This window comes from Homo sapiens, chromosome 3 (assembly GCF_000001405.40).
Source record: "Homo sapiens chromosome 3, GRCh38.p14 Primary Assembly".
Taxonomy (NCBI): domain Eukaryota; kingdom Metazoa; phylum Chordata; class Mammalia; order Primates; family Hominidae; genus Homo; species Homo sapiens.
This window is the reverse complement of record NC_000003.12, coordinates 170,073,660-170,086,975: the sequence shown is the minus strand read 5'-3', so window position 1 is coordinate 170,086,975 and position 13,316 is coordinate 170,073,660. Positions and strand designations below refer to the sequence as shown.

At 39.2% G+C, this 13,316-nt stretch overlaps 1 protein-coding gene and 1 long non-coding RNA gene across 8 annotated transcripts in view; one reads left to right on the top strand and one right to left on the bottom strand.

Moving 5' to 3' along the window:
- Window positions 1–1,583: 1,583 nt before the first annotated feature.
- Window positions 1,584–13,316, bottom strand: part of GPR160 (G protein-coupled receptor 160) — a 47,398-nt gene continuing 35,665 nt past the window's right edge. For 3 of the 7 annotated variants that reach the window (NM_014373.3, XM_047447959.1, XM_005247347.5), the window contains 2 exons: window positions 7,079–7,202; window positions 1,584–3,071 (listed from right to left, as the gene is read on the bottom strand). In NM_014373.3, the coding sequence (NP_055188.1) occupies window positions 1,987–3,003 (1,017 nt within the window). In that variant the 5' untranslated portion in view covers window positions 3,004–3,071; window positions 7,079–7,202 and the 3' untranslated portion in view covers window positions 1,584–1,986. Of the gene's footprint in view, window positions 3,072–7,078; window positions 7,203–9,036; window positions 9,854–13,316 lie in introns of all 7 variants that reach the window. The other 4 variants (XM_024453450.2, XM_024453449.2, XM_005247346.5 and 1 more) reach the window with 3 other exon arrangements.
- Window positions 6,206–11,509, top strand: LOC124909456 (uncharacterized). Its single transcript, XR_007096157.1, has 2 exons — window positions 6,206–6,514; window positions 9,338–11,509. It is a non-coding gene; the product is annotated as an uncharacterized LOC124909456 (long non-coding RNA).

Genomic DNA, 13,316 nt, shown 5'->3' with positions numbered 1-13,316 from the left:
CTGGCAGCCAGAACACCCACTTTGTGGACACAAAATGGAAACCGACAACTCAGAGAGATTCTCCTAGTAGTTTACTAAGTAAGTTCTTGCCAATATCCAGCTTGTTCTTAGAATGGCTCAGGTTGAGTTTGTATTACCTGCTACTCAAAGAATTCTTGACTGACTCTCCAGGAGCATTTCCCAACTTGTCTTTATAGATGCTTAATTAATTAATTTTAGCTAATTAAAGAGACTTGTGTGCTCAAGTAAATGGTTTTCTTCTTCTTCATTATAGCACTATAAAGCCTTAAGGTGTTCATGGGCGTTGTACATTTTCAAGTGAAAAATAAATAATAATAATTAAGAAACAACATTCTTCACATTTGACTCTGAAACCATTCTTTTCTTTTTGAGAAGTCAGTGGCACCAATGAAAGGCAATGTAATACAGTGGTAAAGAGCAAGAACTGTGGACCAGAATTCTGGGTTTGCATCCCAGCTTCCCCAATGTCTGTCTAGTTGTATCATAGTGAGTTTCTTACTTTCAATGTTTAAATTTCCTCATCTGTAAGAAGGGGATAATAGTTCCTGTCAGAGTTGCTATAAGGATTAAATCAGTTGCTGCATGTAAAACAAACACTTAAGACGGTACCTGGCACACAGGACACATTTCTTAAATCTTTTTGCCATTATTAGTGTTCCATAGCGCTTGTTTTAGGACATTTTTTCAAATAACAGAAAGTAATCCATTTGTGGATCATCAACTCAATTTAGTGGATAAAAACCAGCATTTAAAAAATGACACTAAAAAACATATTTGCATGATATGTAAGGGTAAGTATTGTTATACTTGTATGTACATGTACATGTTATACATGTTATGTAAGGGTAAGTATGTTACTTGTATGTACACATAAACGTACATACAAGTCTATAGGTCATGATGTTAAAAAATATATCTTACTATAAATATCAAAAAAAATCAAAAGCCACCAATTTAGGAAAAGCTAGGTTTAGATTTATGCAATATAGTATTTTTAAATGGTGATAAAAAATATCTATGTAGCTTAATTCCTAAAGTAATGTAAGATGATGATCCTGCCACTCATATTGTTTTACTCCAGTGAAGCAACTCTGCCTATCCACCGGGGGAGATTTGGCAATGTCTGGAGACATTTTTTATTGTGTCTACTGGGCATGGAGGTGCCACCAATCAGTCAGTGGGCAGAGAGCAGGGATCCTGCTAAACTGCCCCACAACAAAAAATTAACCAACCCCAAATGTCAAGCGTGCCGAGGATGAGAAATTCTACTTTTACGTGTGATACATCATTGCTAACGTGATTATGATGTGATATGCAAGTATGTGATGACATACAAGTTTTATAATATGAAAACGAATCTGCTGAATCATCGAAAGGGACCTAGTCACTGCTCCCAGTTCCATAAGGTGAGCAACCAAAACCCTCTTCTTCCAGGAATATTTGCATTAAAAACAGAGATATACTTTTTAAAATTAATTAGCTACATTTAAAATGAGGTAATCTTCTTCTTCCTCTTACATTGAACTTTATGCCAAATCATTTTAAGAACAATTTTTACTTTCTTGCTTTCATTTGAACATTTAATAAAAATGTTTAGGTTGATATCTTAAAGTTGTCAGTGAAATCTCAGATTTACATAACAGTTTGCATCCAGTAGTTTTTTTGAGTAACACAAACATCAGTATAGCCAAATGTTAACTCTTATCACTTTTTGTGTTAATAACAAAGTAATATTTGTAATATAGTGTCCCTGAATAACTATAAAAACTTCTTGGAATTATTTTGTTTTTAAAATAAAACACTATTTAATAACTGGTATCATAGCCCTTCAAAAGACACATTCTGAAATGCTATCAGTCAGGGGGCAAAAGTTGTTTTAGTTCAGTTTATTTTTTAATATGTCCTGAGTTCTTTCTGTTCATAAAATTATGATCTTATGACAGCTGTAACTTTTAATTAATAATATTAACAAATCATTATTGATATAGGCTTTTCAATTTGCTCAAGATTAGGAATTGTAAGTGGAATGAAGCAGCACTTCCAGTTGACAAATGGATCCAAAGGTAATCCAATGTCTTTTAAATTAAGCTTGTGACAATTAAACCAATACACTGTAGCAATGAGAAAACTATTGACAAAGTATAACCAGGGAATATTCATCTCAATATATGCTGGAATCTGAACTTTAAGTAAAACAATGATTACCTGAAGTAGTACAAATGGTAACCAGGTACTGAGAAAACAGACAATGAGCTTGGATAAGAATATTTTTTTAGATCTCACAGTATAACTGGAGTGGGATGAAAAAGGAAAATATAAGATAGTTTCATTCATATAGGAAGTTATCCTGATAGCCTGTACCAAAGTAGTAACTTCTTCCCAACAGGTTATGAAAGCTACAAATAAAATCATCACCATGAAAAATGACAGCCAGTAACTCTGAATGCTGACATAGAAAGGACAGTGACGAGAATAAGCATTCTGTGCCTTCAGGCTTTGGTAGATGGCTGGGTCTCCCAAAACATAAGCAAGGACTGAAATCCAAATTAAAATTACTGTAAAGAAATAAAATAATTTTTGACACTTAAATGAAAGCTTGGTTGTTTTAGAGAAATTCAGGCAATAATCTATACAAGCTGTCAGGAAAACTGGATAATGCAAAAAGCCATAAGTAAAGGAAATAATTTGAGTAAATAGGCAGATGTGGTATTTAGTGAACCTAATGCTTAAAAGTACAAAATCCCTGAAATACAATATAATGGAAATGTTTACCAAAAGTAAAAGATCAACGAATGCTAGTGAAATGCAAAAATATTCCATAAAATTTTGACAGGTGTTTTTTCTTCTCATTCCTAGTGTAAGGATATTTAATAATATTTTCCCAAGTATGATCAAGAATAGCAGATAGTTAACATCTAGGGGCTGGTTTGTTTGACGTAACTGGTACTGAAAAGAGCAGTTCTCTGAAGAGAGAGCAGTCATATTTTTAGTTAAATTTCAAGAAGACCTGCTGAAATACACATGATAAAACACTGCTTCATTTTCTGTCCCTGCAAAAAAAGTGAAAAGAAAACCTTAATGTTACCTATTTTGAAACTTTACAAAGCAAGCACCACTATTCTTAAAAGCCTAATTCAATCATTTCCCCAAATAAATATATGAATAAGAATTATATGTCACATAATACTTAATAGAATACAGAACAAAATTAATGTGTATACTCTGGTCATTTTTTTGAGACCCAGATGGTCCAGAACTCAGAGATTTTTAAACCAAAATGTTATATATAAATTACTAACTTCTATATATAAGTACAGGTTTTAATAACTTTTAGATAGAGAAATGGTTTTATCTACCAGGGCCAAAACTCATGCCTAAAATAGAAGCTTGATAGTAATATGCAAAACAACCACATAGAGCTTTTAACCCCACCTCACTCTGACTCCAGACAGCATGACCCCAGTCCCTTTTGTCAGTGAAGTTTAGAAGCGATGCTTATGGGGCCCCTTAACACAGTTTTCAAAGCTTTTTAGCTGCAGGATCCTTCAGATTAAGTCTTTTCCTGAAGCTCTGAAAACAGGTGGTTTCAGCTAAAAATAATGAGAACATAGGTAAAGGAAAGAAAGAAAAGTGTTTATCTTCTGGATATGATCTTTCAGGTATGGCATGTGGAGAGACGAGAATACAGGGAAGGAACAGGGACTCAGTATGGATACATGAGAACATTAGGAAGCGGTAGGTAAAGGCAAAGGAATAGGAGTTGAGGCTTCAGTGATACATACATTTTGGAAGCAGGAAAAAGATGATGAAAGAAGTCAGAAGAAGAATCAGGAAAGGACTGAAAGGAAAGGTAGGAGATTCAAGAAACACATCCTTAAAAAAAATCAGTTGACCCAAACTTAACTTATTTCTACAATACTACTCAATCGCAGTATTTATAAATAGCAAAAAAACAAAAACAAAAACCAAAAAAAAAAAAAACCCCAAAAATGACAAGAACAACAAACCCAGTCAATCACAAATGTGAACAACTGGAGATTGGTTCAAAACAACACAGGTTGGCTGGGTGTGGTGGCTCTTGCCTGAAATCCCAGCATTTTGAGAGGCCAAGGCAGGAGGATGGCTTGAGCCCAGGAGTTGGAGACCAGCCTGAGCAACATAGGGAGCTGCCTCTACCAAAAAAAAAAAAAAATTACCTGGGCATGGTGATGCACACCTGTGGTTCCAGCCACTCAAGAGGCTGAGGTGAGAGGATCGCTTGAGCCTGGGAGGTCAAGGCTGCAGTGAGCCATGATTGTGCCACTGCACTCCAGCCTGGGTGACAGAGCAAGACCCTGTCTCGAAAAAAGAAAAAAACAAGAAAGAAACGAAACACAGGTTGAGTATCCCTTATCAGAAATGCTTGGAACCAGAAGTGTTTTGGATCTTGAATGCATCCCTAATCCAAAAACCCACACTTTCATTTGAGCATCAGGTCAGTGCTCAGAAAGTTTTGGATTTTAGAGCATTTCAGATTCCAGATTTTGGATTAGGGATGCTCACCCTGGATATGGTCATCTTTATGATATGCAGCCATTAAAAATGTTTCTCAGGATAGGAGGAAGACTTAGTTTTCATACTTTTCACTCTACCTTCATTTGTTAAATTTTAAGCCTTGTGAATTTGGTACATGTTAAAAAAATAATGTCATGATAAATTTTCACAGTATGTTAAGTGAAATGCAGGTTACAAAATTATGCAGCAACATGTCATGTAAGAAATACATGCATAGGAAAAGGCTAAAAAGGTACATATCAAGTTACCAATACAGTAGTAGTATACTTTCTTTTTCCCAAACTTTAAGGAAAAAAATGGAGTTTTGAGTCTGAAAACTGAAAAAATTAAATTTGCCTAAAAATAGGTCACTGATGATTAAATAATTTTGTCTGAAGATAAATCAGTGTGACAATAGTAAAAACATGGAATCAACCCAAATACCTGTCAGTGACAGATTGGATAAAGAAAATGTGGTACATATATACCATGGAATACTATGCAGCGTAAAACAAGAGATCATGTCTTTCACAGGAACATGGATGGAGTTGGAGTCCATCATCCTTAGCAAACTAACGCAGGAACAGAAAACCAAATACCGCATGTTTTCACTTATAAGTGGGAGCTAAATGATGAGAACACATGGACACAAAGAAGGGGACAGTGGACACTGGGGTCTACTTGAGGGAGGAGGGTGGGAGGAGGGAGAGAAGCAGAAACAATAACTATTAGGTACTAGACTTAGTACCTGGGTGACAAAATAATCTGTGCAGAAAACCACCCTGATATGAGTTTATAACAAACCTGCACATGTACCCCTGAACCTAAAATAAAAATAAATCACTGTGAGAGAGGGCTATCAGTTTTGATGACAGATTGAACCATTACTCTCATGGCCATAAATCTGTCATAAGATAACTTATTAAGGTATACAAATAATCTACTTATACAAACGTATATATGTGTAAAGGCAATAATACAAAATCTATTTTCATAACTATAAAAGACCCAATCAAACAAGTACTTCCCACACTCAAGTTTTTTTCCCCTGTATTTAAACATAGTACAGTTTAATTTGATCTTATCCAAAAAAGTTGCATTCCAGATTTGATATACAAGGGCACAGAAATGTAGCTGCCAACTTGACAAATGCCATTGGTCTTACAAGTGGTGTTGCTTGGATAAAGAAGCCAAGATGAGTAAGACCATATGAAGTCCCCCTTGTGCCAAAAATGAAAACAAAAAAGGCTTAGTTTTAAACAACCAATGTTGGTTTAAAATGAGGGTGAGGAAATTTTGTGGATTCATAAAGACCCATTTTTCAAAAATGTAACTTTAGGATAAAAGAATAGAATCATCTGTCTCACATGATTTTAACTTTTATAACTCCTGTTCTAAATTAAGTAAGGAAAGCCAAGTCAGGCTGGGGGCCGTGGCTCATGCCTGTAATCCTAGCACATTGGGAGGCCAAGGTGGGTAGATCACTTGAGCTCAGAAGTTCAAGACCAGCCTGGGCAACATGGTGAAACCTAGTCTCTACAAAAAATACAAAAATTACTCGGGTGTGGTGGTGGGGGCCTATAGTTCCAGCTACTTGGGAGGCAGAGGTGGGAGGATCACCTAAGCCCAGGAGGTCAAGGCTGTGGTGAGCCAAGTCATGCCACTGCATTCCAGCCTGGGTGCCAGATTGACACTCTGTCGCAAAAAGAAAAGCCAGGTAGGCAACATCCAAGGGATGTTTTCCAAGTTCCCGTTTCATCATTGACTCTTGACAGGTGGAGGCACCTGGAAGATGACAAAAGTAGGGAGGAGGAGGACCTGGAGGAGGACGCTTGTGTCTCCTAGGGGATGAGGAAGGTCCACAGAGGAGAAAGAGAATCAGCTACAGCCACCAAGGCAGGAACCAAGAACCTCTTCAGAAGATGACTGGAATAAAGAAGACAAGTCCGACATGGAACATGTAAGAGAATCATAAAGCTAGAAGAAAAATAAGAGCGGGGAAGACAGGCAACTTGAGGCAATAAAAAGCGAAAGGAAGAAACTGGAAAACAAGATTTTGGCCAATTTACGATAGTTCCTGAATACCACGATCATGGAAACCAATCAGAGCTTTCTTAGACGACACCAATTTTATGTACTCTACCCCAATTACCCTGTAAACCACTATAAGTGTTCAAAATTCCAATATTTTGTTTTTTAAAACAACTCCCTGAACAAGACAGAAATCCTTTGATAAGCTACCTGAATTTTCTCTAGAAAAATGTTCACAAAATACAGGGACTCAAGAGATTTACAAGATCTGGTCCTTTTCCTGCATGATTCTTTAAACTACTTGTGAATGAACTCATATGCAACCTGAAAAGTTAACATGAAAGTCCTTTTCAAGGTATCTTGCTTTACGATCTGGCCCAGTTTGGAGGTATTAGCAGGGCCTCAGGGAAACAAACCATGATTTCGTTTCACTGACCCAGTCTCTGTTTTTCCCTTTGTAACCCAATTAATTATTAACAACTTGCATACTTACTCTCCAGTGGGTCTTCCTTGACTGATGATCTTCCTATTTAATTTCACTTTTACTGCCTTCAATTATGTTATTTTTGGTTCCTTGCATTTCATTTTGATATACCAATATGCTATGTGAGTAAGCTCTGTGTGAAAGATAGAAAACAAAATGAAACATCATTAAGAGCTATCTTAATAGCAAGAGTCCAGTTAAACTGGTTCCAGATCACTGCTTAGAAAAATTGTAGCTTTTTGTGGGACTGAAGCCAGGAAGTAACTGCTTACATTCTTAGTTTCTTTCTTGCAAAAGGAAGAAAGGGGATACTTGGATTGAAAGCACACCAAAGATGGAGAGATTGATGCATACACCACATTTACTTAAAGGAATCTTGCTTTATAGTTTTCAGCCACAGGATAAAGCAGCTGTCCTCCAAAGTGTTTGGTTTCAGGACCCTTTGACCCTTGATGCATGTTAACATCAATAACATTTTTAAAATGTTATTTAAATAATATGGTAAAAATTACTATATTTTACCAAACAATAATTTAGTGAGCAGAGTGGCATTGTTTCACATTTCACAACTTGCTTTAGTGTCTGGCTTAATAGCAGACAGCTGAATTTTCATCTATGCCGGGTCTGTCCCACAGACCCTAGTCGAGCAACGGATGAAAGGAGTACTCAGACACAGATAAGCAGTGTAACAGCAGCTAGGGGGCTGCCCAGCACTAGTGGCCGAAGAAGAGAGCAGCCTTGAACAGCTGGAGCTGCTTGCTTTTATTCAGTACAGACATAATGCCGAAAGCCTGGAGCAAACACAGTCTGTGGGTAATTAACATTACTGTCCCCCCTTTCAGGGAGCAGTAATGCATGCGGATGATCAAAGGTCGGTTTCTGGACAACACAAGTGAACAAGCCTATTTAAGATAAATTCCCCTACACGTCCTTGTACCTACTCCTTGCCCTCTTCAAGGTCAGAAAACAGCTGCCTTCAGCTTATTCTCCCCCGGAAGCTATGTAGAGCCTTCCGGCCTTCCAGAAGGCCTGCTCCTTTCCCTACAGTTTCTCCCACCACTCTGACTGATCTACATCTCCCCCTTTTTTTTGCATCAGGTTTTGTTGATTGAAGAGTACAGATGTGTGCAGTGCCAGGTTTGACAGGCGCAGTAGTTACAGCTCGTGTTCTGGCTTTGCGTAAAGCGGTCTGCTGCACATAATTCATCAAATTCTGCCCTCTAGAGGAGGTATTGACTTGCCTCTAAAGTTGTTTTAGTTAGCACTGACCAGTCCCATGGGGTCATATGGAAGTTGTCTGCCATGGCCTCAATTAATCCTTTCATAAACGGGCTAGCGGCTCCATTTTCTCTAATGCTTTTTCTTATCTCTTTGTAAGTGTTGAAAGTAATGGGTTCATGTACCCGATTGCCTTGTTGATCTTGCATTACCAGGCAGACCAAGAGCTCCCCTTCTAATGCCGCTTGCTTAAGACAGGGTCCCATAACTGTAGTGTATCCCTTGTCCTTTTTCCAGTTTATTGGGGGAGGGGGCTCAGGGAAAACCTCTGTCTCCTCTGTGGCACCTTTACCCGGTAACGGTGGGGCTGGGGGAGGAGGCGGAGGCAGTAAGGTAGATGATGGTTCTTCCTCCCAAGCAGCCCTAACTAAGGCCCATAATGTTAAAGATGTTACTGGGACCCCATTGCCCTTGTGCATGATGTCGTTTAAGATTTCTTCCCACTTGCTCCCAGAGCTCTAGGTCTAACGTGCCTTCTTCTGGGAACTATGGGTTATGGAAAACAAGAGTTTGCATTAGGTCCCTTAATTGGGCCTCAAACTGAGGCTCCACCAGCTTTAAGCAGTTGTTTCAATACTTTTATATGCTGTTTCTGTTGAGTAAGTGTTGTCCCAATGTGAAACCCTAGCTTGAAAATTCCCTCGAACTTGGAAATCCCAAGAGGGCTCCAATTCCAATTACTGGCTTACTGCGCAGTCTCTTCACCTTCGTTTTCGAGGGTTCCGTCGCGATCCATTGCAGCGTTCCTCACACAGGGCACCAGCTGCTGGGTCTGTCCCACAGACCCTGGCCAAGCAACTGAAGAAAGGAGTACTCAGACACAGATATGCAGTGTAACAGCAGCTAGTGGGCTGCCCGGCACTAATGGCTGAAGAAGAGAGCAGCCTCGAACAGCTGGAGCTGCTTGCTTTTATTCAGTACAGACATAATGCCGAAAGCCTGGAGCAAACACAGTCTGCGGGTAATTAACATTATTGTTCTTCCTTTCAGGGAGCAGTCATGCGCGCTGATGATCAAAAGTCGTTTCTGGACAACACAAGTGAACAAGCCTATTTAAGATAAATTCTCCTACACGTCCTTGTACCTACTCCTTGCCCTCTGCCTCAAGGTCAGAGAACAGCTGCGTTCAGCTTATTCTCCCCTGAAGCCTTCCGACCTTTCAGAAGGCCTGCTCCTTTCCCAACAGTTTCTCCCACCACTCTGACCGATTACCTATACATCTACATTTCATCAGCTGAAATATCACACATCATGTAGCTTCTGGAAAGTCCTCTGTACATTCACGAGAGTTGGAAAGTAAAAAAAAAGGTAAAAACTTCAAGTGTTTTTATAATCAGTTGTGTTGCAGAATCTCATGCAATCTTAGAAAAGTTTAAAAAAACCATGTGCGTTAGACAACAGGATGGGAGATGAACGCTGTGAACATGAACATTCTGGTTTACTGTTGTGTAGAAGATGGAATTCATACTGCAGCTGTATTTGGTGAGCCCGATAAGTGGAGCAAGCCTGTGGGAGAAATAGCCTTATCAGGGGTTTTACATACTGTTTTTCTAATTCTTAACAACAGTCATAAAAGGTATATATAATTTTTCCCCATGAGGAAAACAGGCTTGTGGTTAATAAGTACATTTCCCTAGGTCCCATGACTCGTAAGTGTTGGAGCTAAAGTTCAACCTCAAGTCTGACTTCAAAGCTCACGTTCTTCAGTAAACCACAATTATGGCTTAACTCACTGGAAATGTAGAAAAGGACCCAATGTATGTATGTGAAAGAGCTTTCTAAAAAACCAACATGTGGTGGCTCATGCCTGTAATCGCAGCACTTTGGGAGGCTGGTGCAGGCGGATTGCCTGAGGCCAGGAGTTCAAGACCAGCCTGGTCAACATGCTGAAACCCCATCTCTACTAAAAATACAAAAATTAGCCAGGCGTGGTGGCGGGCGCCTGTAATCCCAGCTACTCAGGAGGCTGCAGCAGGAGAATCGCTTGGACCTAGGACGGGGAGGTTGCAGTGAGCCGAGATTGCACCACTACACTCCAGCCTGAGCAACAGAGTGAGACACAGTTATCTCAAAAAAAAAATAATAATTAAAAAAATAAAAAAGCGACATTCAAGTAACAGTGACTGTACTGATTACTGATATCCATAGGATTGTGACTTGACTATCCATTTGGATAATGAAATTTTATCCCTCCAAAAGGTAAATATAAACTTTGAAGAGTTTGTATTTGAAATGTGGTCTTCGCTTGATGTGTCCAAATTCAGTGGAAAAAAAAAGTCACTCAACTCTGATAATGTTTTGCATTCATCCATTTGCACAGTACAGTTATATTCAATATAGAAAATATGGAAATGTTTTTATTTTACTTATTTTTAAAAATAGGTGATATAATTTACATGATACAAAACTTGGGTGACAGATGTGTATTACAGTGAAAGTTACCTGTGCCACCCAATCCTCCCTCCAACACCCCCACTCTGCCCAGCGCTGTCTAGCCAGTTTCCCTCCCTAGATACAACCACTATAACCAGTTATTTGTATATATTTCCAGAGATATTCTAAAGCAAAGTTTTAAAAAGAAATATGAAATTTCCTTATTAAGACAACTAGTGAGAGATTCTTGATTTGTCCTTTCCTGTTTTATTTATACACTGATAAAATCTGACAAAAGAGGCGCAAAGGTAGAACATAACCAAGAATTATCAGTGATCTGCCAGAAGCAGGAGTAATTCCCACCAACCCAAACATAAGGCTGGCGATAAGGAAGGCCAGTGAGGCCAGGCAGAAGACAGCAAGCAGAGGTTATCTCAAGGTAGGGGATAGATGATTTTTATTTTTCTCCTTCAGTGTAGAATTATAGTGCTCACCCACATGCCTGCTTCATCTCTGCTTCTGCCCATGGAGGATTTTTGTTCTTTGATCCCTACAGTTAATGGTCTACCAGGCCAAAACATTTTATTGCAGATGAGTTGCCCTTCATTGTTGTCTTCCCCATCATGGGCTGGGGAGGCGGGGAGGCAATGCATTCCAGATGGTACATTACAAGATGGTGGAGCCTCTGTCAACCTGGGTCCTTGAGTGACCATGTGAAGCAAAGCCCCTGGCGATTCACAATGGGTGTATAGTATGAGCAAGAAATAAACCTTTGTTGCATTAAGTCAATGGGATTTGGCCTTTCCTGACTAATGCCATTCCTCATTATTCTCTATATCCTTTGAAATTTTTTTAACAGGATGTATTATTTATATTATCAGAAAAAAGACCTTTAAAAAGCCATGATACAAATGTAAGAATATTGGTAAAACTCAAAATTCAATTTTAATTTGTCATATATTTGTAAAAGTCATATACTTTTGCATTTTTCCTTCTGATATTCTTTTGGTTTTGTTTTGTTTTGCTTGAGTTGGAGTTTCGCTCTTGTTGCCCAGGCTGGAGTGCAATGGCACAAACTCGCCTCACTGTAACCTCCGCCTCTTGGGCTCAAGTGATTCTCCTGCCTCAGCCTGCTAAGTAGCAGGGATTACAGGCACACACCACCATGCCTGGCTAATTTTTGTTATTCTTAGTAGAGATGGGGTTTCCACCATGTTGGCCAGGCTAGTCTCGAATTCCTGACTTAAAGTGATCTGCCCACCTTGGCCTCCCAAAGTGCTGGGATTACAGGTGTGAGCCACTGCACCCGGCCCTCTTCTGATATTCTTATATTTGCCTGTTTTCAAAAAGAAGGGCTCAATTCAATAACCTAAATTTAAACTTTAAGGAAAAAAGCAAATTAAACCCAAAGTAGGTTAAAGGGAAGATTAAAAAAAAAGCAGAAATCAATGAAATTAAAACAAACAAAAATAAGGCCAGGCATGGTGGCTCATGCCTGTAATCCCAGCACTTTGAGAGGCCGAGGCAGGAGGATCACTTGATCCCAGGAGTTTGAGACCAGCCTGGGCAACACGGCAAAACCTCATCTCTATCAAAAAGTATAAAACTTAGCTGGGTGTGGTGGTGGGCACCTGTGGTCCTAGCTACTTGGGAGGCTGAGGTGGGAGGATCGCTTGAGCCCAGGAGGTGGAGGTTGTGGTGAGCCAAGATTGTGCCACTACACTCCAGCCTGGGAGACAGAAGAAGACCCTGTCTCAAATAAATAAATAAGCAAAGGAAATCAATCAAAACAAAAACAACAACAACAACCCCAAAACAACAGAAAGAAAATCGATACAAAACTGCTTCTTTAGGGGAAAAAAAGAACCAATAAAATTAATAAACCTCTAGCCAAATTAAGAAAGAAATTACCAAAATTGGGAAAGTGAGTACCTAGAAACATTAAAAGAATAAGGAACTATTTTGAACAACTTTATTTCGATAAATTTGTATGATGAAACAAATTTCTGGAAAGACACTACCGAAACTCCGTCCAAAAGATCCCTAAATAGCTCTATTAAAGAAACTGGCCCAGTGTGGTGGCTCATGCCTGTAATCCCAGCACTTTGGGAGGCTGAGGCCAGCGGATCACCTAAGGTCAGGAGTTCAAGCCCATCCTGGCCAATATGGTGAAACCCCCGTCTCTACTAAAAATTCAAAAATTAGCCGGGCATGGTGGCTTGGCCTGTAGTCCCTGCTGCTCCAGAGACTGAGGCAGGAGAATCACTTGAACCCAGGAGGCGGAGCTTGCAGTGAGCCGAGATTGTGCCACTGCACTCCAGCCTGGGTGACACAGTAAGACTCCATCTCAAAAAAAAAAAAAAAAAAAAAAAAATCCCTATTAAAGAAACTGATTCTGTATTTAAAACCTACCCACAAAGAAAATATAGGCTCAGATGTCTTCATTGATGGATTCTATCAAGCATTTAGGGAAAAAATACCAAACTTAAAGAGTACCTCCCAACTCATTTCACAAGGACTAGAATTACCTTGATACCAAAGACATTTCAAGAAAACTAATATAGATCATCATCCCTCATGAACATGGAAGCAGAAA